General features: G+C 53.7%; 1 protein-coding gene across 1 annotated transcript in view, besides 5 other annotated features; it reads left to right on the plus strand.

The window, feature by feature from the left end:
* Positions 287 to 376: a silencer, noted in NCBI's record as "silent region_10967". NCBI's record gives its function as "represses an Ori minimal core promoter by ATAC-STARR-seq in GM12878 lymphoblastoid cells {active_cell/tissue: GM12878}" and the evidence as "EXISTENCE:reporter gene assay evidence [ECO:0000049][PMID:35858748]".
* Positions 407 to 626: a silencer, noted in NCBI's record as "silent region_10968". NCBI's record gives its function as "represses an Ori minimal core promoter by ATAC-STARR-seq in GM12878 lymphoblastoid cells {active_cell/tissue: GM12878}" and the evidence as "EXISTENCE:reporter gene assay evidence [ECO:0000049][PMID:35858748]".
* Positions 976 to 1,734: an enhancer, noted in NCBI's record as "H3K27ac-H3K4me1 hESC enhancer chr19:50935955-50936713 (GRCh37/hg19 assembly coordinates)". NCBI's record gives its function as "activates a minimal SCP1, AML or CMV promoter by ChIP-STARR-seq in naive H9 embryonic stem cells {active_cell/tissue: H9 hESC(naive)}" and the evidence as "EXISTENCE:reporter gene assay evidence [ECO:0000049][PMID:30033119]".
* MYBPC2 (myosin binding protein C2) overlaps positions 1,170 to 26,644 on the plus strand; it is a 33,430-nt gene continuing 7,955 nt past the window's right edge. Inside the window, exons 1-20 of the mRNA NM_004533.4 lie at positions 1,170 to 1,250; positions 3,439 to 3,528; positions 4,054 to 4,140; positions 4,290 to 4,438; positions 4,895 to 5,012; positions 5,751 to 5,799; positions 5,937 to 5,996; positions 9,158 to 9,354; positions 10,459 to 10,591; positions 11,772 to 11,896; positions 11,989 to 12,094; positions 14,158 to 14,330; positions 16,503 to 16,668; positions 19,107 to 19,213; positions 19,558 to 19,587; positions 20,142 to 20,281; positions 22,298 to 22,457; positions 22,543 to 22,647; positions 23,386 to 23,574; positions 23,788 to 23,922. Of these exons, the coding sequence (NP_004524.3) occupies positions 1,232 to 1,250; positions 3,439 to 3,528; positions 4,054 to 4,140; positions 4,290 to 4,438; positions 4,895 to 5,012; positions 5,751 to 5,799; positions 5,937 to 5,996; positions 9,158 to 9,354; positions 10,459 to 10,591; positions 11,772 to 11,896; positions 11,989 to 12,094; positions 14,158 to 14,330; positions 16,503 to 16,668; positions 19,107 to 19,213; positions 19,558 to 19,587; positions 20,142 to 20,281; positions 22,298 to 22,457; positions 22,543 to 22,647; positions 23,386 to 23,574; positions 23,788 to 23,922 (2,338 nt within the window). The 5' untranslated portion in view covers positions 1,170 to 1,231. The remainder of the gene's footprint in view (positions 1,251 to 3,438; positions 3,529 to 4,053; positions 4,141 to 4,289; positions 4,439 to 4,894; positions 5,013 to 5,750; positions 5,800 to 5,936; positions 5,997 to 9,157; positions 9,355 to 10,458; positions 10,592 to 11,771; positions 11,897 to 11,988; positions 12,095 to 14,157; positions 14,331 to 16,502; positions 16,669 to 19,106; positions 19,214 to 19,557; positions 19,588 to 20,141; positions 20,282 to 22,297; positions 22,458 to 22,542; positions 22,648 to 23,385; positions 23,575 to 23,787; positions 23,923 to 26,644) is intronic.
* Positions 2,549 to 3,049: an enhancer, noted in NCBI's record as "H3K4me1 hESC enhancer chr19:50937528-50938028 (GRCh37/hg19 assembly coordinates)". NCBI's record gives its function as "activates a minimal SCP1, AML or CMV promoter by ChIP-STARR-seq in primed H9 embryonic stem cells {active_cell/tissue: H9 hESC(primed)}" and the evidence as "EXISTENCE:reporter gene assay evidence [ECO:0000049][PMID:30033119]".
* Positions 19,404 to 19,972: an enhancer, noted in NCBI's record as "H3K4me1 hESC enhancer chr19:50954383-50954951 (GRCh37/hg19 assembly coordinates)". NCBI's record gives its function as "activates a minimal SCP1, AML or CMV promoter by ChIP-STARR-seq in primed H9 embryonic stem cells {active_cell/tissue: H9 hESC(primed)}" and the evidence as "EXISTENCE:reporter gene assay evidence [ECO:0000049][PMID:30033119]".

The following is a 26,644-nucleotide window of genomic DNA, read 5'->3' on the forward strand; positions in this document are numbered from 1 at the left end:
GGCTCGCGGGAGCGCAGTGGCAGTCTGCCTGGCAACCCGTGACATCACATGGAACTGACGCCGGATTGGCTGGACGCTCCCCGGAGGCGGAGAAATTTCCGGCTCGTAGGGGGTTTTGGAAAAGGAGGAGGGGGAAGATGAACAGGAAAAAAAAGCGGAGGGACTTGTTTTCCTCACACCGGGTCCCTCACGCTGCGTTACTAGCCAGGCAGTCCCCCAGCCTTAACCCTAAGTCCCCAACACCCTTTCCCTCCTTCCTCCCCACAACACCTGGTGTCCCCAAGCCCCGCCCCTCCCCAGGCCCCGCCCCCTCGGCTCCCCGCCGCGTCCAGAGCCACCCCATTCAGAAAGTCACAGGTCCCCCTGCCGGGAAGGGCGCCAACGTCCGGGCAGCCCTCCAGGGCCTTCCCAGCCTCCCACCCGCCCCCACCGGGGACGCCCACCCCCTACCCGCGTCCGGTGCCTGCCGTGCCCGCTCCGGGAAGAGTCGCGGGGAGCGGTCCCAGGAGGGGCGGCGGCCAGTCCGGGGTCCCAGATGGCCGGGGCCCCAGCTCTTTGGGTTTGCCCACGCCCGGGGCGCGAAACTCCGGAGTCCCAGAGCCGCGGCGCCCTCCCCGGAGGCGCAGGGACCTCCTCCCCCCGCCGCCGTCCTGCCTACGCTAGGAAACCGGACCCTCCCTCCCGGCTCCGGTTTCCCGAAAACTCCTGACTTGCAGATGCTAAGAATGGCTTCCTAGACCCTGTCCCTCCCCTCCCTGCTTCATGCCAGAGCTCTGGCCCGCAGCCCTTACCCCCTTGAGACCCTCAGTCTCTTCCTCTTCCTTCTCCCGGGACCCAGGCGTCCAGGCGCTCGTCCTTTCTAGGGAACCCAAGAATCTGGGACCCCAGTTGCTTCTGCTCCCAGACTCAGGGGTCCAAGCACCCAGTCCCCTCCTCCCTGAGATTCTGGAGTCCGAGCCCCAGCCCCCTCCTCCCTCAGACCCAGGTGTCCGAGCCCCAGCCCCTCCTCCCTGGGGACCTGGCTCTCAGCCATCTCCCTAGGTCCAGCTGTTATTTCTCGCCCTTTAGAACATGCGGGCGGAATGTGGGGCGGCCCTGTGGTCTGATGTCTCCCGGAGCCTTCTGGGAGTCTCAGGACTCATTAAAAGGCTCCCCTTAGGGGCCCACCTGTCCTCCCTAGGGCCTAGCGGGACGCGGCTGCGGTCAGAGGAGCAGGAGGAGGTCCCCCGACATGCCTGAGGCAAAACCAGGTGGCGCCAGGACCCCCTCCCTGTGTGGGGATGGGGCTCTTCTTTTCTGGATGGGGATTTGGGACCCCTCTGTTTGTAGGGTTGGGAGAAGGAGGAACCTTCGCTGTGTGAGGAGGAGGCTCCCTTTGCTGTGCGGGATGGGGGTTCCCGCATCAGTTTAGGGTGAGGGTCTCGACTCTGCATGGGGAAGAGGGTCCCTTCCCTTTGTGACAGGAGTTTCCTTCCTTGTATGAGATGGGGTGGGTCTCATATCTGTGTGGGGTGAGGGATCCCCTTCACTCAGCAGGGAGGGTGTTTCTTTTTCTATAAGTGATTGGGGGGGCATCTCTGGTGGAGATGGGATTCTCTGGTTGTAAATTGGGTTCCTTTTGCTTGATGGGGATGGGGGTCTGTGTGTGTAGACTGGGTTTTTTTGTTTGTTTTTGTTTTTTGGTTTTTGGTTTTTTTTTTGAGATGGAGTCTCGCTCTGCCCCCGGGGCTGGACTGCATTGGTGCGATCTCGGCTCACTACAACATCCGCCTCCTGAGTTCAAACAATTCTCCTGCCTGGGGTAGCTGGGATTACAGGCCTGCGCCACCATGCCTGGCTATTTTTGTATTTTTAATAGAGACGGGTTTCGCCATGTTGACCAGGCTGGTCTCAAACCCCCAACCTCAGGTGATCCACCCGCCTCAGCCTCCCAAAGTGCTGGGATGACAGGCATGAGCCGCCGAGCCCGGCCAGACTGGGAGGTCTTTGCATGTGACTGGATTCTCCACATCCGGGGATGGCATCCTCTGGGCAGGGTCTGGGCCACTTCTCTGAGTGAAGACTCAGAGGGAGCCAGGTGCAGGGGCTCACGCCTGTCATCCCAGCACTCTGGGATACCGAGGCAGGAGGATTGCTTGAGGCCAGGAGTTCAAGACCAGCCTGGGCAACATGGCGAGACCTTGTCTCTACAAAAAATTAAAAATCAGCCAGGTGTGGTGGTGCATGCCTGTAGTCCCAGATACTTAGGAGGCAGTTGAGGCTGCAGTGAGCTGTGATCACGTCACTGCACTCCAGCCTGGGTGACAGAGTGAGACCCCGTCTCTAAAAAACAAGCAACAGCAACAACAAAAATGGCCCAGTGCGGTGGCTCATACCTGTAGTCCCAGCACCTTGGGAGGCCAAGGTGGGTGGATCACCTGAGCCCAGCAGTTCAAGGCCAGCCTGGCCAACATGGCAAAACCCCGTCACTACAAAAAATACTAAATTAGCTGGGCTTGTGGGGGTGTGCCTGTAGTCCCAGCTACTCAGGAGTCTGAGGTGAGAGGATCACTTGAGCCCAGGAGACGGAGGTTGCAGTGAGCCCAAATCTTGCCACTGCACTCCAGCCTGGGAGACGGAGCGAGACCCTGCTGGGAAAAAACAGAAACAAAAACAAAAAATAGATTCCAAGGGACCTTCTCTGTAGGATATGGGGTGATTGTGGGTATAAAGATTAGTGGTTCCCATCTGCATGGAGTCACAGGGGAAGTCTCTGTATTAAGGATGGGGGAGCCTCATTTCTGTGGGCACTGAGGCTTCCCCGTGTAGGAATTAGCGGGGCTTCTTCATGCAGGGAATGGGGTCCTTTTTGCGGGGTTTGGGGACCTTCTTTGAATGGGGAACACTTTCTGTGGAGATGAGGCTTTCTCTCTATGAGGAACTCACCGCAGGAATCATGCACCGCTGGGCGGACCCCCTCCTGGGATGTCTGGTCCGCTGGCATCAGGCCAAGCAGGCTGTGGGGTGGGTCCAGCCCCTACTGTAGCTGCAGACCCAGCCGGCAAGGAACAGCAGGCAGGGCAGGGGAAGGATGCTGCGGTCAGCACCAGGTGTCCAGTTTCCAGCCCAGAGGGAGAGCTAATTATACCCTCGGACCCAAAAGGTCAGGGCGTGGTGGCCTGGGCGGATGGGGCAGGGCCTGCTGGGGGTAAGGGAAACCCGATCCCACAGACTCTCAGATCTGAGATAAATTTATACCTAGGGTGGGGGCCTGGACTCTTGGGTCTGAGGGAGGAGGGGCTGGGGGCCTGGACTCCTGGGTCTGAGGGAGGAGGGGCTGGGGGCCTGGACTCCTGGGTCTGAGGGAGGAGGGGCTGGGGGGTCTGGACTCCTGCGTCTGAGGGAGGGGCATGGGTGTGCAGACCGCATGCTCAACTATGACTGTCCCCTACCTTACAGCGGCCAAAAAGGCCCCCAAAGGCAAAGATGCCCCCAAAGGAGCCCCCAAGGAGGCTCCCCCTAAGGAGGCTCCTGCAGAGGCCCCCAAAGGTGAGGAGGTGCTCCCTCGGGCTCAACCGACCTGGCTTCTCATCTCCATCCTCCTCGCTACGCCTCTCCAGGCCTTTCCCCAGCCTCTATCCTTGAATCTGTCCCCGCACAGCCCCAGGGCTGACCCACGCCTCCCGTGCTCCCAGCCCTCCCGGGGCTCCCTGGCACCCGCAGGCAGAGCCCAGCCCCTCGGCTGGCATCGGCTCCGGTCAGCTGGCTGATTGATCACCAGGTCCGGCCCCGGTCTCTCTAAACCTCTCCCGCCCCAAAGGCACATTCAGTGCCCTCCAGTCCACAGATGAGGAAACCGAGGCCCAAAGGGGTGAGGGAGCCTGGCCAAGGTCACACAGCCACGAGGGTGACAGGTGGCCTTTCCCAGGTCAGGAAAAGCCATTTAACCCCCATGATGTTTGGTTTCTGAGTAGAGGGGCCCTCACTGTCTCTAAGTCCTTTCCCCAAAGCGGCCCACTGTCCCCTCCCCAGCCTATCTCAGACCTCCTCATCCTAATCCTGTCCCCTGAACAGAAGCCCCACCCGAGGACCAGTCCCCGACTGCAGAGGAGCCCACCGGCGTTTTCCTGAAGAAGCCGGACTCCGTCTCAGTGGAGACTGGTGAGGGGAACCCGGGGGAGGAGGGGCTGCGGCCCGGACTCCTGGGTCTGAGGGAGGAGGGGCCAGGGTCTCGTTCTGTCTCCCTCTGGAGAGCCTTATGTTCCTTCCTGGGCCTCCTCCCACTCTACCCTGTCACTCACCCCATGTAGGGAAGGACGCAGTGGTCGTGGCCAAGGTGAACGGGAAGGAGCTCCCAGACAAACCGACCATCAAGTGGTTCAAGGGGAAGTGGCTGGAGCTGGGCAGCAAGAGTGGCGCCCGCTTCTCCTTCAAGGAGTCCCACAACTCCGCCAGCAATGTGAGGACCCCGTGGGCCAGAGGGCTGGTGGAGGGGAGTGGAGCTTGTGCAGGACATGCTCCTCAGAAGCCCTGTTGCCTGAGGCATCAATGTGGGCCTGGAGCCGGGATGGAGAGTGGGCCCTCTGAGGATGGAGGTTGTGCGGGGCTGCTGGGGAGAGGTTGTGTGAAGCAGAGGGAGGATGCCTGGGGTTGGGTGGGGATGCATTAGGGCTTGGTCATGTACATTCCTGGCAAGGCCTGAGGGGGCCAGGGACCTGGGCCCCAGAAGTCCTGATGGGTCAGATATGAGGAGACAGAGCTGGCCACCAGGTGCTGAGACCCCTCTCGGTCTCCATTGGCCCCCCTGTGGGGTGGGGGTGAGGACGTGGAGATAGAGCTATGAGTGGACTCTGAGGAATATGGGGTGGCTCTAGAGGGTGGTCCCGTGCACCCACACCCCCGGCCCTGGACCCAGGTGTACACCGTGGAGCTGCACATTGGGAAGGTGGTACTGGGGGACCGTGGGTATTACCGCCTCGAGGTCAAAGCCAAGGACACCTGTGACAGCTGTGGCTTCAACATCGATGTGGAGGGTATGCTGGTGGGGGATGCGGGAGCAAAGGGTTCTATGTCTGGGTGGGGTGGACAGATGTACCAGCCAGGTGTTGGGAGAGTGCACAGGCATGGGCATGAGGTGGGCACAGGTTTTTGGAGGAGGGAGTGCAGATTCTGGGGTCAGAGTATTCAAACTCAAGGAGACATAGCATGGGAGGAGGTCTGGATTTCGGGGGTGAAAGTGTACAGGGTCTTGGGATGCACATGCAAAGGCTTAGGAGGTGAGTTATGCACATTCCACGTTTAAGAAAGTAGGCAAAACGGCTTGGGAAGTGAGGGTGTCCAGGTTTAGAGAAGAAGGATGTAGGGGTTTAGAGTGAGGGTGTACAGGATTAACAGGAGGTTACACGGATTTGAGGGCACATATATGGGCCCCTGAGGGTGTATGGGCTCTGGGGGTCTGCAGCCCAGAATGTGTGAGGGCTTAAATGTGGGGTGCACAGGAAATGAGATTGTCCAGGCCTGGGGAGAAAGACATGGTGGCCCAGGTGTGGGGGGTATAGGCTGCTGAGAGAGGGTGGAGCTTGGCAGCTGGGGAAATGAGTATGAGCTGGTCTAGAACTAGAGGATGCCCAGGCCTGAGCAAGGTTGTGCTGGTCCAAGAGATGGAGAAAAGGGGGCCTGGAAGAGGTTGTGCAGGCCTGGAGAGGGGCTCTCAGTCTAAGATCAGCCCTGGCCTCTAACTCACCTTCCCTTCTCTCATCACCTCTCCCCAGCACCCCGTCAGGATGCCTCTGGGCAGAGTCTAGAAAGCTTCAAGCGTACGTAAGTGACCCCAGGCCCTTACCAGGGTCCCAAGGACCATGGGAGGCTCTCCCTTGGAAGGGGAAAAAGGGAGGATTGGGGAAGGCAAGGGGTGAATCTGAAGGGTCAAGACTCACATGCCCTCTCAATGGCCACAGGAGTGAAAAGAAGTCGGATACTGCAGGTGAGCTGGATTTCAGTGGCCTGTTGAAGAAGAGGTGAGCCCCGGACTTGGCACAGAGAGGGGAGATGGGACTCAAGGGGAGGAGGTGGTGGGTGAAGCTCCATGGCCCACTGATTCCTCCTGGACCCACTGCTTATCCCTCTACCACCTCCATCTGTTCACTCCCTGCCCACCCAGCATCTAACACACCAACCCATCAGGCTGCCTGTTCATCCACCCACCTACCCATTTACCCAGACCCCTACCCACAACCCCACCCAGCCAAACATCTGCCATGAGTTCACCCACCTTCTCACCCCTTAACCCACCATTCTCACACCCACTCTGCTGTTCACTCAGGCTCTAGTTCACCTATGCCTCCACCTACTCACCCTCCCATCCATCCATCCCTCCATCCCTCCACTTTCCACCCACTGATCCATTCACTCACCCATCCATCCAACCAGTGGCCTATTTATGTATCTACTAATACATCTATCCACCTACCTGCCCAGTTGCCAATCTATCTACCCACATATCCATCCGTTAACCACCATTTTCCCACCTGTTTACCTGCCCATCTGCCATTACAGTCAGCCTAGCTACATGGGTAGGTGGATGGATAACGGGTGAATGGGATGTTGGATTTGGTTGGGAGATGCAGGTGCAGATAGACAGGTGGGAAGGTGGGTGGATGGTACGGATGAATGCATGGTGGAGAGGTGGGAGGATGGGTGCCTCAGTAGGTGGGGAAGCGGATGGATGGATGGGGTGGGTGGACGATGAATGGATGGGTTCATGAATAGGTGGCTGAGTTCACCAGTGAAGAGGTGGGCAGTTGACACGCCCATCCACACAGATAGCCCTCTGTTAGATTGAACTATGTAAAATTGATGTTCTGCAGGTAAAAAATGATTGAAGTCTGGGTGCAGTGGTTCACGCCTATAATCCCAGCACTTTTGGAGACCAGTGTGGGAAGATCACATGAGCCCAGGAGTGTAAGACCAGCCTGGGCCACATAGGGAGACCCTGACTCTACAAAAAAAAGAAAAATTAGCAGGGCATGGTGGCATGTGTCTGTGGTCCTAACTACTTAGGAGGCTGAGGGAGGAGGATCGTTTGAGCCCAGGAGATCAAGGCTGCAGTGAGCCATGATCGCGCCACTGCACTCCAGTCTGGGCAACAGAGTGAGACTGTTTCAAAAACAACAACCACAAAAAATTAAATATCGGCAATCTCATATGCATTATCTGCTGGCCCACTTATCCATCTTCACTTGCCCATCAATCCCCATAACTATATCCCTGACAATTCCATTTACTGATCAATTCTGTCTGCAGCCAGCCAGCCACTTCCTTGGCCACTTCTCATCAACATATTCACCCAACTGCGCAGTCATTTCTCACCAACCCATCAATCCATCCACTCACCCACCTGTCTTCCCCCAACCCATCAATCCATCCACCCACCCACCTGTCTTCCCCCAACCCATCAATCCATCCACCCACCCACCTGTCTTCCCCCAACCCATCAATCCATCCACCCACCCACCTGTCTTCCCCCAACCCATCAATCCATCCACTCACCCGTCTTCCCCCAACCCATCAATCCATCCACCCACCCACCTGTCTTCCCCCAACTCATCTGCCTCTCTTCCCACCCACCCTTCCACTGACCCACCCACCTACTTATCAGCCCACTTACTCACCATTCTGTACATCAATTCAAATATTCATGTCCCCACATTCACCTCCACATCTATCCTCTCTTTGTTCCTTTCCCTTCCTTCCTTCCCTCCCAAGCTCCATCCATGCATTCACTCACTCTCTCACCCATCAACCATCTTCTGAGGCCTCCCGTCTACTAGGTCCTGGGCTGAGATCCATGCATTCACTCACTCTCTCACCCATCAACCATCTTCTGAGGCCTCCCGTCTACTAGGTCCTGGGCTGAGATCCATGCATTCACTCACTCTCTCACCCATCAACCATCTTCTGAGGCCTCCCGTCTACTAGGTCCTGGGCTGAGATCCAGGGAGAGAGAACAGTCTGACTGGGTCCCTGATGTGAGATCACTCATTGCCTTGGGAAATGGGTCTTGTCCAACAGACATAGATACAGACTGAGACTATTTGGTGTGATTTTAGAGAGGGTCCCACCGGGGCCTGTGAGAGCCCAGAGCACGAGCAACTCACTGTCTTGTAGGACACGGAATGCCTCAGGGAGAAGGGAACTTTGGTGCTAGGTCTTGTAGGATGAAGAGGAGTCTGGGAGGAAGAGAAGGTAGGGAGAGGTCATGAAGGTAGGGAAACATTTTGTGCAAAGGCTGGGAAGCAGGAGAGAGCCTGAAGTGTTCAGCAAAAGTCAAGCAGCTTGGTTCAGGTGACTTTGGGGGGAGTGACGGAAGTAGCTGGGGTGTGATGGCCAGGCGGAGGGCTGGGGCTTCCTCCTGAGGGCAGTGGGGAGCCACAGAAGAGTTCTGAACATGAAAGGGAGAACCACTGATGTGGGTGTCAGAAATACCCCACAGGATAAAAGAGGACAAATAGGGTGCAATGTATGCTGCTTGGGTGATGGGTGTACCAAAATCTCACAAATCACTACCAAACAGCTTACTCATGTAACCAAACACCACCTGTTTCCCAATAACCTGTGGAAATAAAATAAATAAATAAATAAATAAATAAATAAATAAATAAATGAAAAGAAATACTCTGCGGACCAGGCATGGTGGCTCACACCTGTAATCCCAGCACTTTGGGAGGCTGAGGCGGGTGGATCACTTAAGGTCAGGAATTCGAGACCAGCCTGTCCAACATGGCAAAACCCTGTTTCTACTAAAATACAAAAATTAGCCAGGGGTGGTGGCGTGAGCCTGTAGTCCCAGCTACTCGGGAGGCTGAGGCAGAAGAATCGCCTGAACCCAGGAGGTGGAGGTTGTAGTGAGCCGAGATCACGCCACTGCACTCCAGCCTGGGAGACAGAGTGAGAATCTGTCTCAAAAAAAAAAAAAACCAAAAAACCCAGTGGGGACTGTGCTGGGAAGAGGTCAGAAGACCCCAGGAGGAGGCTGGGGCAATGGACCAGGCGGGAAACAATAAGACCCCTAAAGGGAAGGTGGCTTGGGTGAGTCACAGAGCCAATGAGTGAAGAAGGCAGAGGGACATCCTCCCTTCCTCACTCCCTGATGGCCCCTGTCCGTTCCCCCACCCGCCAGGGAGGTGGTGGAGGAGGAGAAGAAGAAGAAAAAGAAAGATGACGATGACCTAGGCATCCCCCCGGAGATTTGGGAGCTCCTGAAAGGGGCAAAGAAGAGCGAGTACGAGAAAATCGCCTTCCAGTATGGCATCACCGACCTCCGGGGCATGCTGAAGCGGCTGAAAAAGGCTAAGGTCGAGGTCAAGAAGAGTGCAGGTCAGCCCTGGTCTGGGGGGAGCTGGGCCCTGCACACAAGGGACCCCTAGCCTTGTGGGTGTCTAATGATTGGACCCTGGACCTATCTTTTCGAGGTCCCAATGAGGTAGGAGGCAAGACCCAACTCTAGCGGTGGGCCTCGGACACCAGACCAAATTGAGGACTAGCTAAAACAGGGACAGGGTGGAAGCAGCTTTCCATAAGACATGCCCACCAGTGTGCCATGTCAGTTTACCATGGCCATGGCAACAGCCAGGAGTTACTGCCCCTTTCCATGGCAATGACCAGACCACCCAAAAGTTACCACCCTTTTCCTAGCAATTTCTGTATAACCTGCTCCTTAATCTCTAGGTAATTAAAAGTGGGTATCAATCTGACTGCAGATCTGCCCTGAGCCGTTGCTCTCTGTCTCTGGGGTAGCCCTGTTCCGCAGGAGCAGTCAGAGGGCTGTAACACTGCCACCTCAATAAAGCTGTTTTCAGGCTGGGTGCAGTGGCTCACGCCTGTAATCTCAGCACTTTGGGAGGCTGAGGTGCGCAGATCACCTGACGTCAGGAGTTCGAGACCAGCCTGGCTAACATGGTGAAACCCCATCTCTACTAAAAATACAAAAGTCAGCCGGGCATGGTGGTGTGCACCTGTAATCCCAGCAACTTGGGAGGCTGAGGCAGGAGAATCGCTTAAGCCAGGGAGGCAGAGGTTGTGGTGAGCTGAGATTACGCTGTGGCACTCCAGCCTGGGGAACAGAGTGAGACTCTGTCTCAAAAAAATAAAATAAAATAAAAAATAAAATAAAATAAAATAAAATAAAATAAATAAATAAAAATAAAGCTGTTTTCTTCTACCTAACACTGGCTTGCCCTTGACTTCTTTCCTGGGTGAAGCCGATAACCCTTGCAGGCTAAGCCCCACTTTGGGGTCCCCTGCCCTGCATCACCACCAGAGAAGTTCTCAAGGATCTCTAAGTTCATAGGAGGCCCCCTGACTTCCTCACTTTGACCTTGGAGAGCCCAGGGCCTGGGGAGGGAGATGTGGTGCCTCTGGGGATGACCAGGGGAATGAGGACCACACGCCTCCATCCCCTTTGCATGCCTCAATCTTCAGCATTCACAAAGAAGCTGGATCCAGCCTACCAAGTGGACAGAGGCAACAAGATCAAGTTGATGGTAGAGATCAGCGACCCAGACCTGACCCTCAAGTGGTTCAAGAACGGCCAGGAGATCAAACCAAGCAGCAAGTATGTGTGGGGTGGGCAGTCCCTGCACCGGGGAGATCCCCGTCCAGAGAGAACGCCCGGAGACAAGGCCTATCACTCTTAACCAGAAAGGGCATATTCACCCCTATATGAAGAGTACAGGCCGGGCACAGTGGCTCACGCCTGTAATCCTAGCACTTTGGGAGGCCGAGGCGGGTGGATCACCTAAGGTCAGGGGTTCGAGACCAGCCTGGCTAACATGGTGAAACCCCATTTCTACTAAAAATACAAAAAATTAGCCGGGTGTGGTGGCACATGTCTGTAGTGCCTGTAATCCCAGCTACTTGGGAGGCTGAGGCAGGAGGATCGCTTGAACCCAGGAGGCAAGAGGTTGCGGTTGCGGTGAGCTGAGATCTCGCCACTGCACTCCAGCCTGGGCGACAGAGTGAGACCCTGTTAACAACAACAACAACAAACACATCACAAGACAACCTTTTTTAAATTAATTACCTAATTTTGTTTTGAGACAGAGTTTCGCTCTTGTTGCCCAGGCTGGAGTGCAATGGCATGATCTCAGTTCACTGCAACCTCTGCCTCCCAGGTTCAAGAGATTCTCCTGCCTCAGCCTCCCAAGTAGCTGGGATGACAGGAGCGCCCCAACACATCTAATTTTTGGGGTGTATTTTTGGTAGAGATGGGGTTTTACCATGTTGCCCAGGCTGGTCTTGACCTCTTCAAGCAATCTGCCTGCCTCAGACTCCAAAAATGCTAGGATTACAGGTGTGACTGGCCCTGCCATGGTTATTTAAATAATAGGAATTGCTAGCTTGGACAACATAGCGAGATCCCATCTCTACAAAAAAATTAAAAAATTAGAAGATACCAAGAAAAGAGAAAAAAAAATTAGCTGGGTATGGTGGTGTGCACCTGTGATCCTAGCTACTCAGGGGCTGAGGTGGGAGGATGGCTTGGACCCAGGAAGTCTAGGTTGCAGTGAGCTGTGATCGCACCACTGCACTCTAGCCTGGGTGACAGAGTGAGACCCTGTCTCAAAAGTAAATAAAAATAAATAAATAATTGAAACTGGGCCCTCAATCCCTTTCCACACAATTTGGCTCTGAGAGAGAGAGAGAGAGACTTGCCTTGAGAACAGGTAAGCAGAGCTACCCCAGGGATAGGTGGATGCTCCACGCCCTGGTTTGAGGTGAGACTTTTGAATCAGGTACGTGTTTGAGAACGTTGGTAAGAAGCGAATTCTTACCATCAACAAGTGCACGCTGGCGGATGACGCTGCCTATGAAGTAGCTGTCAAGGATGAGAAGTGTTTCACCGAGCTCTTCGTCAAAGGTGAGGCTGGAATTCAGAACTGAGCCTGGAGAGGGACTGGAACTCTGGAGGGGGTCCTGAAACGACTGACCTCCTGTCCCCCTGCCCCACAGAACCTCCAGTCCTAATTGTCACACCTCTTGAGGACCAGCAGGTGTTTGTGGGTGACCGGGTGGAAATGGCAGTGGAGGTGTCAGAAGAGGGTGCCCAGGTGATGTGGTAAGTGACCCTTGATCCCTGATCTCCATACAGGTGCACATAGTTTCTTTGCCTCTGCCTTGATCTTTATGGGACCTCCTGTGACTTCTCTTGGAGATTTCTGACCTTTACTCAGTAGTCATCCCCAGGAGATCTCAGCTTTTCTCTATAAATCCTTACCTTCACCTAAAATTGTTTCTAGAATTTCTGACCTCTACCTATCCTATCCTCTTCAGGGTCGTCTTCCTGATCTCCGACTGTTCCATTAAATATTCATTCATCTGACCAATTATCTATTCCTTGGTCCATCTATCCAGGTATCCACTCATCCACCCAGTCCATCCATCCATCCATCCATCCATCCATCCATCCATCCATCCATCCATCTGCTTAACCATCCATCCACTCATGCATCCATCCATCCACTCATCCATCCATCCATCCATCCATCCACTTAACCATCCATCCATCTACTTAACCATCTGTCCATCCATTCATCCATCCATCCATCCATCCATCCATCCATCCATCCATCCATCCATCCCATTGACCCATTCATCCATCTACTCATTCATATATCCACTCTTCCATTTAGGTTGCCATCTAGCCATCCATCGACCTATCAATCCAGAGATCTATCCATCCACTCACTCACTCACCTGCATACTTGCCCACCATCTACCTATCCATTCATCCATCTATGTACCTATTCACCAACCCAACAAATATTTATCGAGCACCTGTTGTGTGGTGTACTCTTCTACGTATCAGAGATATAATGGGGAGAAAAAAAATGTCAACATGGCCGGGCGCGGTGGCTCACGCCTGTAATCCTAGCACTTTGGGAGGCCGAGACGGGCGGATCACGAGGTCAGGAGATCGAGACCATCTTGGCTAACACGGTGAAACCCCGTTTCTACTAAAAATACAAAAAATTAGCCGGGCGTGTTGGCGGGCGCCTGTAGTCCCAGCTACTTGGGAGGCTGAGGCAGGAGAATGGCATGAACCTGGGAGGCGGAGCTTGCAGTGAGCCGAGATCGCGCCACTGCACTCCAACCTGGGAGACACAGCGAGACTCCGTCTCAAAAAAAAAAAAAAAAAAAAAAAAATGTCAACATGGTACCTGCCTTCATGGCATTTATAATCTGCTAATTTGGTGATAGTGGTGGTGGTGGTGTGTGTGTATGTGTGTTTGTGTAGGAGAAAGAGATAGGCATTAGTCAAGTCATCACATACATACATATAAAAGTTCCATTTTGAGACTGGCTTGAAAGGAGCAGTAATGGATGTTGTAATAGCTTCCTAGGAGGAAGGGACTCAGGAGGTCAGGGAAGTCTTCCTGGAGGAGATGACAATTGAGCTGAGATCTGAATGACATGGAGGTATAAGTGAAGAGAGAAGGGGAGAGTGCCCTGGACAGGGAAAACCACTGACAGAGGCCACAACGTTTGATGTTTCTCTGAGACCCCAGGGCTTCCTCTGTGCGGACCTCTCCCCATGACATCTTTTTGTGTCCCCTGACTTCCAGCCAATACCTTGGTACCTTGAGACAATTAACTGTGTGTGGCCTGTGACTTCCTCCTCTCTCTCCTCACTGCCTTTTTTTTTTTTTTTTGAGACAGAGTCTCACTCTGTCACCCAGGCTGGAGTGCAATTGCGTGATCTTGGCTCACCTCAACCTCTGCCTCCCGGATTCAAGCAATTCTCCTGCCTTAGCCTCCTGAATAGCTGGGATTATAGGTGCCCACCACCACACCTGCCTAATTTTTTATTTTTTATTAGAGGTGGGTTTTCACCATGTTGGCCAGGTTGGTCTCGAACTCCTGACCTCAGGTGATCCACACACCTCAGCCTCCCAAAGGGCTGGGATTACAGGCATGAGCCAGCGTGCCTGGCCCTCTCTCTCCCCTTCACCTGACCTGTGACCCGTCCACCACTCAAGATGCCTCTGCCACTCATTATGTCTCCTCCCTCCGGGGACCTGCCTTCTGATCCCTCTGCATGGGCCCCCGACTGACTCTCCAAGACCCAGACCGAGAGCTGTGCTGTCTCCTCACATCCCGTTCTGTGTCTCACCCACCTAGGATGAAAGATGGTGTGGAACTGACTCGGGAGGATTCCTTCAAGGCCCGGTACCGCTTCAAGAAGGACGGGAAGCGCCACATCCTCATCTTCTCAGACGTGGTCCAGGAGGACAGGGGTCGCTATCAGGTCATAACCAATGGCGGCCAGTGTGAGGCCGAGCTGATTGTGGAAGGTATGGGGCCTCCAGGTAGGGCACGGGCTGCACTGCGCATGCTTCTCCACACAGCTTGAGGTTGCTCAGGCCCCCCAGTCTGGAAGTTGTTCCTGACTCCTCTCTTTCCCACACACCCTATGTTCAGCCCACCAGGGAGATCTGATGGCTCCAGCTTCAAAGTAAATTTTGGATCCAGCCAAGCGTGGTGGCTCACGCCTGTAATCCCAGCACTTTGGGAGGCCGAGGCGGGTGGATCACTTGAGCTTAGGAGTTCGAGACCAGCCTGGCCAACATGGTGAAACCCCATCTCTACTAAAAATACAAAAAAATTAGCTGGGCATTGCGGCGTGCACCTGTAGTCCCAGCTACTCAGGAGGCTGAGGCAGGAGAATTGCTTGAACCCAGGAGGCGGAGGTTGCAATGAGCTGAGATTGCTCCACTGCACTCCAGCCTGGGCAACAGAGCAAGACTCTGTCTTAAAACAAAAACAAAAACAAAAACAAACCTGGGCGCGGTGGCTCACACCTGTAATCCCAGCACTTTGAGAGACCAAGGTGGGCGGATCACTTGAGGTCGGGAGTTCGAGACCAGCCTGGCCAACATGGCGAAAACCCATCTCTACTAAGAATACAAAAATTAGCTGGGTGTGGTGGCGTGCACCTGTAATCACAGCTACTCGGGAGGCTGAGGCAGGAGAATCGCTTGAACCCAGGAGGTGGAGGTTGTGGTGAGCCGAGATTGCACACTGCACTCCAGCCTGGGCAACAGAGTAAGACTCTGTCTCAAAAAAAAAAAAAAAAAAATTAGCCGAGCATGGTGGCACACACCTGTAATCCCAGCCACTCAGGAGTCTGAGGCAGGCGAATTGCTAGAATCCAGGAGGCAGAGGTTGCAGTGAGCCGAGATTGTGCCACTGTGCTCCAGCCTGGGTGACAGAGCAAGACTCCGTCTTAAAAAAAAAAAAAAAAAAATCTGAAACCAACCACAGCCCCCCTGTTGCTGCCCCCGCCTGGCCCAGGCCTTCCTTCCCTCATGCCTGGACTGGTGCAGTTGTCTCCTCTCTGGTCACTCTGTGTCTATACCTGCCCCTTGACCTCCACCCCCCAGTACCCGCCAGAGTGAGCCTCGTAAAACATAAGTGAGATGGTGAAAAGAAACAGGTCTGTGGTCTGAGTAACAGTACTGGGTCCATGTCAGTGTCCTGGTTTGGATACTGGACTCCATTATGTACGATGTCACCAGTGGGGGAGGCTGGATGAAGAGCACACGGGACTCTATGTGCTATTTTTGCAAGCTCTAGGGGTCTATAATTCTGTAAATATAAAAAGTAAAAAACAACGAACTCAAGTCAGTTATGGGTCAAACAAATGATGGTATTTCCATATCTAGCCATAAAAAAAGAGAATGTTTTAGACTGGGCATGGTGGCTCAGCCCTGCCATTCCAACTCTTTGTGAGGCCGAGGTGGGAGGGTAAATTGAGTCCAGAAGTTCAAGGCCGGCCTAGGCAACATGGCAAGACCCCGTCTGTATAAAAACATCAGGCCGGGCTTAGTGGCTCACTCCTGTAATCCCAGCACTTCGGGAGGCCAAAGCGGGTGGATCACCTGAGGTCAGGAGTTCAAGACCAGCCTGGTCAACATGGTGAAACCCCATCTCTACTAAAAATACAAAATTAGCCAGGCGTGGTGGTGCATGCTAGTAATCCCAGCTACTTGGGAGGCTGAGGCAGGAGTATCACTTGTACCCGGGGGGTGGAGTTTTCAGTGAGCCAAAATCACGCCATTGCAGTCCAGCCTGGGCGACAAGAGTGAAACTCCATCTCAAAAAAAAATAAATAAATAAAATAAAATAAATAAAATCCCCAAAGTGCTGGGATTACAGGCGTGAACCACTGTGCCCGGCCACCTCAGGGCCTTTGCACACGCTGGTCCCTCTACCTGGGAGGCTTTTTTTCATCTTCTGGTAGATTCCTCCCTGCCTCCCTCAGGCCTCCTCGCTCCCTCCTCTGTTTCTTTCTTCACTGTCTCCCACTAGCATGGGAGCTTCCCGAGGCCAACGGGTTGTTTCTGGGTTGTCTGTGGCTGGTATCCCCAGTGCCTAGACCAGCGCCTGGCACACAGTGGGTGCTCACAAGTGTCTGTGCACTGACTAGAGTAGTGACGGCTCCTTGTCTTTCTCTCCCTGACCAGAGAAACAGCTGGAGGTCCTGCAGGACATCGCGGATCTGACGGTGAAGGCCTCAGAACAAGCTGTGTTCAAGTGCGAGGTGTCTGATGAGAAAGTGACGGGCAAGTGGTATAAGAATGGGGTCGAGGTGCGGCCCAGCAAGAGGATCACCATTTCCCATGTAGGCAGGTGAGGAGTGGGCTGCAGAAGTGGCTGGGGGTAGGGTGTGCATAGCAGTTAGCTTTAGCTGTGTAACAAGCTGTCCCCCATTTATTTTTTTTTTTGAGATGGAGTTTTGCTCTTGTTGCCCAGGCTAGAGTGCAATGGCGCGATCTCAGCTCACTGCAACCTCCGCCTCCCGGATTCAAGCGATTCTCCTGCCTCAGCCTCCCAAGTAGCTGGGATGCACCACCACGCCTGACTAATTTTTTTGTATTTAGTAAAGACAGGGTTTTGCCATGTTAGTCAGGCTGGTCTTGAACTCCTGACCTCAAGTGATCCACCTGCCTCAGCCTCCCAAAGTGCTGGGATTACAGGTATGAGCCACCACGCCTGGACTTTTTCTTTTCTTTTTCCTTTTTTTTTTTTTTTTGAGTCAGAGCCTCACACTGCAACCTCCAACTCTGAGGTTCAAGCGATTCTCCTGCCTCAGCCTCCTGACTAGCTGGGACTACAGGCATGCGCCACCATGCTAATTTTTGCATTTTTAGTCAAGACAGAGTTTCACCATGTTGGCCAGGCTGGTCTCTAACTCCTGACCTCAGCTGATCCACCCACCTCGGCCTCCCAAAGTGCTGGGATTACAGGTGTGAACCACCGCACCTGTCCTGTCCCCAAACTTAGAGGTTTAAAAGGATGAGGATTGGGCTCGGAGCAGTGACTCATACCTGTAATCTTGGCACTTTGGGAGGCCAAGGCAGGAGGATTTCTTGGGCCCAGGAGTTCAAGACCAGCCTGGGCAACATAGTGAGACACTCTCTCTAAATAAATAAATAAATAAATTAGGATTCATTTCATCTTGAGCGTGCAGGTTGGTTGGGGGCTGGCTGATCCAGGATGGCCTCGTTCTTACCTCTGTGGTGGCAGGACCTGGACCCTGCTGACTTTGCGTGGGCACTGTCAGGACCTCAGCTGGGACAGCTGGGCGCCCAGCACGCCGCTCCCTATGGCACCTCCTCCTCCTCCAGTGAGCTCAGCCTAGCACACTCACGTGGCAGAGGCAGAGGTCCTGAGAGAGCATGGAAGCAAATGAGACTTCTGTGGCCCAGGCTGGAAACTGGCCCAATGCCACTTCCGCCATAGTCTGTTGGGCAAGGAAAGTCCCAGGCCAGCTCTGAGTCAAGGGCTGGGAAGCAGATTCCACCACTGATGGGGATGCTGCAAAGTCGCATTTCAAGGGCATGGACACCGGCAGGGAAAAGCCTCTGGCCATATCAGCTAACAGTCAACATGGGCTCCAGCTCAGAAAACAAGAAGCTGGGATTCAACAGGTGGCACGTGGACACCTAAGACAAACACCTGGTTATCTGCAGAATGCAGAGAGCCAGCATGATGCCTGGAGAACATCGTGCCGTTCAGGGCTTCCTGGCAATAGTTCTTGGTGGGATGTAGGTTTTCCCTGTGTTCTGTGTAGGGAACCATGCCGGCTGGTGGTCTCAGTAATGATGATAATGGCCGGGCATGGTGGCTCACACCTATAATCCTAGCACTTTGGGAGGCTGAGGTGGGTGGATCACTTGAGGTCAGGAGTTCGAGACCAGCCTGGCCAACATGGTGAAACCCCCATCTCTACAAAAAATACAAAAATTAGCTGGGTGTTGTGTTACACGCCCATAGTCCCAGCTACTCGGGAGGCTGGGGTGGGAAAATCATTTGAACCCAGGAGGGGGAGGTTGCAGTGAGCCAAGATCATGCCATTGCACTCCAGCCTAGGTGACAGAGTGAGACTCCATCTCAAACAAACAAACAAAAACAACAACACATAATGATGATAACACATCCTGACACTTACAGGGCCCTTACTATGTGCCAGGTACTTTTCTAGGTGTGGTTTTTTTCTTTTCTTTTCTTTTTTTGAGACAGGGTCTCAACCTGTCACACAGCCTGGAGTGCAGTGGTGCAATCATAGCTCACTGCAGCCTTGACCTGGGCTGGAGCAATTCTCCCACCTCAGCCTCCCCAAGTGCTGAGATTACAGGCGTGAGCCACCATGCCCGGCCAAAGAACAGTATCTATTTATTTATTTTCTGTAGAGACAGGGTCTTGCCGTGTTGCCCTGGCTGGTCTCGAACTCCTGGGCTCAAACAATTCTCGATCCTCAGCTTCCCAAAGTGCTGGGATTACAGATGTGAGCCACTGCACCTTTCTCGATGCTTTACAACAACCTTGATGTAGATGGATATCATTACCCCTATTTTATAGATGAAGAAACAGAGGCACAGAGAGGTTAAGTAACTTGCCCAAGGTCACATAGCTACCGATTTGAAAATAGACCACAGCGTTCCAAAGCCCTGGATAAGAATGCAGGCATGTGGACTGCACTGAGGGAAGCTGATTGAGGCGGTGCAGCCCCATAGTGGTCCCATTGCAATCTGGTTCGAGCCCTACCCTGCTCCCCCACCCCTTAGGTTCCACAAGCTGGTGATCGATGACGTCCGCCCCGAGGATGAGGGAGACTACACGTTTGTGCCTGACGGCTACGCCCTGTCGCTCTCGGCCAAGCTCAACTTCCTGGGTGAGGATGCCCCTTCCTCCTTCCCTGGGGGCTGTAGGATCCACCCTCGCAGACCCAGGGCCCGGGATGTCCCTCTCCAGGATTAAGGTTCCCCGAGTGCGAATGAGGACGACAGCAAGCGTCTGTCCCGCTCATGGCTGGAGTCAGAAGATGGAGGGAGAGCGCTGAACTCGCTGCCACCTGCCGCCCGGGAGGAGGGGTGGCTCCTGGGCCTGAACCTGTCTCCAGCACCCCAGTTCCCAGGGAGACTGCCAGACCCTGTCACCTCTTCCTCTGGGCTGTGAAGGTGGGGTGAGGGGCCTGCTGAGTTTAGACCTAACTGTCCAGTCTTCTTTGTCTTGCAGAAATCAAGGTGGAGTACGTTCCCAAGCAAGGTGAGCACCACGGGCTGCGCTGGGAGCGGGTCTGAGGGAGGAGGGACCGGGCTGAGGGAGGAGGGGAATGGCCGAGGGAGGATAGGCAGGGCGAGGAAGGATGGGCGGGGTGCGGGAGGATGAGTGGGGAGAGGAAGGAGGGGGTTGGGGTGCTGAGGAAGGGAGGGAGGAGGGGCGGGGAGCTGACAGACGGGGTGGGGGCTATCGGCCGAGAGGAGGGACTGAGGTCCTGAGGGAAGAGGGATTGGGGACCTGGATCCCTGGGTCTGAGGGAGGAGGGGCTGGGGGCCTAGACTGTAGGGTGTGAGGGAGGAGGGGTTGGGGACCTGGATCCCTGGGTATGAGGGAGGAGGGGCTGGGGGCCTAGACTGTAGGGTCTGAGGGAGGAGGGGTTGGGGGCCTGGACTACTGGGTCTGAGGGAGGAGGGCTTCAGGACATGGATCCCTGTGTCTCTGTCACTGTTGGAACCCAACTTTTTGGAGATTCTCTTGTGGGAACTGGGAAGGCCCAGCCTCCCACTCCCAGGGTCCCTGTATCTCTTCTGTGCCACCAGAGCCACCAAAGATCCACTTGGATTGCTCGGGGAAGACCTCAGAGAATGCGATTGTGGTTGTGGCTGGAAACAAGCTGAGGCTTGACGTGTCCATCACAGGGGAGCCCCCTCCCGTCGCTACCTGGCTGAAGGGAGATGAGGTGGGTTGGGGCCGCCCCTCTGTCCTCACTCCCTTTCCGTTTAGGCAAGTCTCTTTCCCCCTGAGCCTGAGTTTCATCCTCTATAAAATGAGGGTGATGGTTCCTTCTTCACAGGGTTGTTTTGAAGATTAGAGATTATGTTTGTCCATCACAGGTATGGGCCTAGCACATGGTGGATGCTCCATCCATTCATCCATTCACCTTTCAGTTAATTAATCAAGTGATCGACCAGTTTAGGCTTCCAGCCAGCCAGTAACTCATCCGCCCATCCAGCTGATGATTTTTTCATCAACTAATTGGTTAATTCACCCAGCCATCCACTCGTCCAGTAATTAATCTGTTTGTCCATTTATCCATCAACCAATTTAGTTATCCATTCATCCAGAAACACATCATTTACCCACTTCAATCTATCTATATAATCTATCTAATCTATCTATCTGTCTATCTATCTATGTATCTGTGTATGTATGTATGTATGTATGTATGTATGTATGTATGTATGTATCTATCTATCTATCTATCTATCTATCTATGTATCTATCTATCTATCTATGTATCTATATTTTTGAAAGGTGGAATCTCACTCTGTCACCCAGGCTGGAGTGCAGTGGCGTAGTCTTGGCTCACGGAAACCTCCACCTCCCAGGCTCAAGTGATCCTCCCACCTCAGCCTCTTGAGTAGCTGGGACCACAAAAGTGTGCCACCATGCCTCGCTAATTTTTTGTATTTTTGTAGGGACAGGGTTTCACCATGTTGCCCGGGCTGGGCTCAAACTCCTGAACTCAAACGATCCTTCCACCTTGGCCTCCCAAAGTGTTGGGATTATGGGCATGAGCCAACATGCCCAGCCATATCTATATATTCCTCTATCCATCCGTCCAACAAATATTTTAACCTTGCATGTCCCAGGCCCTGGGACAGCTCGATTTTTCATTTCTTCTCTGTGCTTCCATTTCCTCTTCTGTAAAATGGACAGACTTGCTCAACATCCATCCATTTGCTCACTCAGCGTACATCCCCTAAAGTTTTCTCCGCACCAGGCACTGAGGATGCAACCATGAGTTGGATGCGGCTCCTGCCCTCCAAGAGCCTTCATTTTACTTAAAATTTATTTATTTATTTTTAAATTTGAGACAGGGTTTCACTATGTTGCCCATGCTGGTCTTGAACTCCTGGGCTTGGGTGGCACTCCTGCATCAGCCTCCCAAAGTGCTGGGATTACGGGCATGAGCTACCTCACCCTGCTCAGTAGCCTTTACTCTTGCGGAGACGCAAACACCTGCCCAAGAAGCCACAGTCCAGGGTGCTCTGGCTGAGATAAAGGGAGGTTCTAGAAGCTATGAGAACCCAGGGGCTGGAGCCAGCACTTCCAGCTAAGGGTATCCAGGAAGGCTTCCTGGAAGAGGTGTCTTCTGGGTGCTTCCTGAAGGATGAGGAAGAGCTTAGTGTTGCATGCACAGGGACCAGCCTTGCAAAATCTCTGGGACAAGGCAGTCTTTTTTTTGTTGTTGTTGTTGTTTGGTTGGTTTCTTTTTTTCTCTTTTTTTTTTGAGATGGAGTTTTGCTCTTGTTGCCCAGGCTGGAGTGCAGTGGTGTTATCTTGGCTCACCACAACCTCCGCCTCCTGGGTTCAAGCGATTCTTCTGCCTCAGCCTCCTGAGTAGCTGGGATTACAGGCATGCACCACCAGGCCCGGCTAATTTTGTATTTTTAGTAGAGATGGGGTTTCACCATGTTGGCCAGGCTGGTCGCAAACTCCCAACCTCAGTTGATCTACCCGCCTCGGCCTCCCAAAGTGCTGGGATTACAGGTGTGAGCCACTGCGCCCCGTCCAGTCTGGTGCTTTTAATGAAGGACGGCATTTGGAGGGCGAGGAGGGCAGTGGAGCGAGTGAGGACTCTGTGTGTTGATGGGGAATCATGGGAGGATTCTGAGCAGGGGAATGGCAGAGGCAGGCCTGGGTTTGCTTGGGGACACGATGGGGTGCAAGGCCATCTGGTGGCTGCGTTCAGGTATTCACGACCACCGAGGGCAGGACCCGCATCGAGAAGCGGGTGGACTGCAGCAGCTTTGTGATTGAGAGTGCGCAGCGGGAAGACGAGGGCCGCTACACCATCAAGGTCACCAACCCCGTCGGCGAGGACGTGGCTTCCATCTTCCTGCAAGTTGTAGGTGAGCAGAGAAAGCCGAGGTGGCTGGGCCAAGGGGTGACTCCCTGAGGCCTCGAGGGGCCACCTGACTCTCCTGCCCCCTGCAGATGTCCCAGACCCCCCGGAGGCTGTGCGCATCACCTCGGTTGGAGAGGATTGGGCCATCCTTGTCTGGGAGCCACCAATGTACGATGGGGGGAAGCCAGTCACCGGTGAGTGCCTCTGTCCTCATGACCTCTGACCTTCCCTCTTTCTGCCTTCTGTTTTTTTTTTTTTTTTTTTTTTTGAGATGGAGTCTCACTCTATCGCCCAGGCTGGAGTGCAGTGGCTCAATCTCGGCTCACTGCAACCTCTGCCTCCTGGGTACAAGCAATTCTCCTGCCTCAGCCTCGCAAGTAACTGGGATTACAGGTGCCCACCACCACGCCCGGCTAATTTTTGTATTTTTAGTAGAGATGGGGTTTTACCATGTTGGCCAGGCTGGTTTTGAACTCCTGACCCCAAGTGATCTGCCCACTTCAGACTCCCAAAGTGCTGGGATTACAGGTGTCAGCCACGGCACCAGCCTCTGCCTTCTCCTTGACCTCCCAGAGCCCTTAGCATCCTCAGTGACCTACCTCTGACCCCTGATTTTCCATTTTCCCATCTCAATCCCTTTGGTCTTCCCGCTTCCTTTACTCGCTGGTGACCTGGGAATTCTCACTTTGACCAGTAGCCTGGGTTTTTCTATGGCTCCTGGCCTCCTGGTTCATGAGCTGTGACCCCCTCTTGATTCCTGACTCCAGGACTGGTGGCCTCTGAATGCTCTGTGGCCCCTGAGATCCACCTAAGATTCATGGCCTCGGACCGCCCTGGCCATGCGATCCTCTGGATGTGGCCCTCACTCCCCCAGCTGACTCATGCCCCATGCCCTCCCGTTCCCTCTTCTCCTCTCTGCTTGGAGCCTCCAGGGTACCTCGTAGAGCGGAAGAAGAAGGGCTCTCAGCGCTGGATGAAGCTGAACTTTGAGGTCTTCACAGAGACCACCTATGAGTCCACCAAGATGATCGAGGGCATCCTCTATGAGATGCGTGTCTTCGCCGTCAATGCTATAGGGGTCTCCCAGCCCAGCATGAACACCAAGCCTTTTATGCCTATTGGTAATGTCCTCCCTCACTTTTATGCCTATTGGTAATGATGGATCACTCTGATCCATCAACCCCGTCCACCTCTGGCCCATCTTTTGCCCGCCATCAATCTCTGACCCTACCCCCTGGCCTTCTGACCAATCATTCTACCTCTGACTCCTGCCCCTTCCTGCTGACCCCTGACCCCTCATTCCCCCCATATCCTCTTTTTCTGGATGCTTGCAGCACCCACGAGTGAACCCCTGCACCTGATAGTGGAGGATGTGACAGACACCACCACCACACTCAAGTGGAGGCCTCCGAACAGGATCGGGGCAGGTGGCATCGATGGGTACCTGGTGGAGTACTGCCTGGAAGGCTGTGAGTGACCCTGGCAGGGCTGGTGGGGGTGGTGGCTAGCACAGGTGGGTATCCAGTCCAGGGAGCTGAAAATAGGACCATGTGGGACAGAGATGGGTGCAGTGGCCTGCTTGTGTTTTGTGTCTGTACTGTTATAAGTCTCTGGGATGGGACCCCCCTGTGACTAGTGTGTTTTCTCTCCCTTCTTCCTTTCTACATCCATCCTCCATACAGCAGTGACTTTCTGTCATTCCATCTATCCTTCCATCCCCCCATTTATCTTTTATCTTTTACCTTTATGCCTTCTTTCTTTCTTCTACTCATTTATCCATCTAACCAATCTTTCCTTCATCCATCTTAACATCCACCCATCCATCCATCTGTCCATCCATCTGTCCACCCATCTGTACATCCATCCATCCATATTTCCATCCATCCATCCATCCATTCATCTTACCGTCCATCCATCCATCCATCCATCCATCCATCCATCCATCCATCATTTCCATCCATCCATCCACCCACCCACCCACTCATATTTCCATCTATCCATCCATCCATCCATCCATTTATCCATCCATCCACCCATCCATATTTCCATCTATTCATCCATCCATCCATCCATCCATCCATCCATCCCTCCATTTGTCCATCTGTCCACCTGTCCATCATCCATCCATCCATCCATCCATCTGTCCATCCATCCATCCGTCTGTCCATCCATCTGTCCATCCATCCATCTGTCCATCCATCTATCCATCCATCCATCCATCCATCCATCTGTCCATATTTCCTTCGTTTCTCTCTCTCTCTTTTTTTTTTTTTTTGAGACAGAGTCTTGCTCTGTTGCCCAGGCTAGAGTGCAGTGGCACGATTGGCTCACTGCAAGCTCCACCTTCCAGGTTCACGCCATTCTCCTGCCTCAGCCTCCCAAGTAGCTGGGACTACAGATGCCTGCAACCATGCCCAGCTAATTTTTTTTTTTTGTATTTTTAGTAGAGACAGGGTTTCACTGTGTTAGCCAGGATGGTCTTGATCTTCTGACCTCGTGATCCACCTGCCTCGGCCTCCCAAAGTGCTGGGATTACAGGCATGAGCCATCGCACCCGGCCCAGTATCATTTTTTCATCCATATATCTATCTCTTCACCACTATCTTTGCTTCCTTCCCTCTTTCTACCTATATGGCCATCCAACCATCTGTCCACCTAACCAGCCATTGTCTCTCTGCCTGTCCATCCATCATCTGTACCTCCATACATCCACTCTCCATCCTCCACCAAACAAACATTCACTGAGCACTGACTTGTGCCCGGCCCAGTGCCATGGCTATGGAGATGTCTCAGACGCAGCCATCTCTCTGGGAGAACAGACGTGATCACCTCGACACACTATCCCAGGTCTTAAAGTCAGACAGATGCGGGTTCCAACCTTGCCCCTCCACTGTCTAACTGTGTGTCCTTGGGCAAGTCTCTGAGCCTCAGTCTCTTCATCTAACCATGGCGAAGACAGTTCTCATCTTGACAGGGTACAGTGACGATGTACTCGAGAATGCATGGAAAGGAGGGATGGTTGAACCCTCATCAGCTTCCTCCCTCCTCCTCTCCTCCGTGCTCTTTACCCCATTCCTCCCTGGCCGGCTGCTCCCACCCTGACGTTTCAGAACCCAGCTTGTTAGAGTTCACTCTGTTGATTGCTGCTCTGAGCCAACAGCCATGAGTTCCCCAGCCCATGGCCATAAACCCAAGACAGAAGGGCATGTAACGAAAAGCAGGCAATCTGAAGAGCTCTGACCCTGCCCTCAGCCCGCCTTCCCAGACACCCACCTGGCTGCGCCCTCAGACAGAGCCAAGATCCCTGCCCCTCTGTGCCAGCCTTGCAGGAGAGCAGAGCTTGAGAGCGTGCTGGAGTCAGACAGGCCTGGGTTTAACATCCTAGTCCACAGAGCCTGAGCTGCGTGTCCAGGATGGTCTTGAATTCCTGGGCTTGAGAGATCCTCCTGCCTTGGCTTCCCAAAGTGCTGGGATTACAGGCATGAGCCATGGTACCTGGGGAAAGTTTTTTTTTTTTTTTTTTTGATGGAGTCTTGGTCTGTCGCCCAGGCTGGAATGCAGTGGGGTGATCTCGGCTCACTGCAACCTCTGCCTCCCAGGTTCAAGCGATTCTCCTGCCTCAGCCTCCTGAGTAGCTGGGATTACAGGTGCCTGCCACCTTGCCCGGCTAAGTATTGTGTTTTTAATAGAGACAGGGTTTCGCCATGTTGGCCAGGCTGGTCTTGAACTCCTGGACTCAAGTGATCTGCCCACCTCAGCCTCCCGAAGTGCTGGGATTACAAGCATGAGCCACGGGATTACAAGCATGTTAGGGATGGTTTCCCATCCTTAACATGGGGATAGCACAGGGTTGAGGTAAGAATTAATGAACAACGCCTATAATCCCAGCACTTTGGGAGGCCGAGGTGGGCGGATCACGAGGTCAGGAGTTCAAGAGCATCCTGGCCAACATGGTGAAACCCCATCTCTATTAAAAATACAAAAATTAGCTGGGCGTGGTGGTGCGAGCCTGTAGTCCCAGCTACTCAGGAGGCTGAGGCAGGAGAATTACTTGAACCTGGGAGGCGGAGGTTGCAGTGAGCCAAGATCTTGCCATTGCCCTGCAGCCTGGGCGACAGGGCGAGACTCCACCTAAAAAAAAAAAAAAAAGAATTCGTCCCACTGCACTCCAGCCTGGGCGACAGGGCGAGA

This window comes from Homo sapiens, chromosome 19, assembly GCF_000001405.40.
Source record: "Homo sapiens chromosome 19, GRCh38.p14 Primary Assembly".
Taxonomy (NCBI): domain Eukaryota; kingdom Metazoa; phylum Chordata; class Mammalia; order Primates; family Hominidae; genus Homo; species Homo sapiens.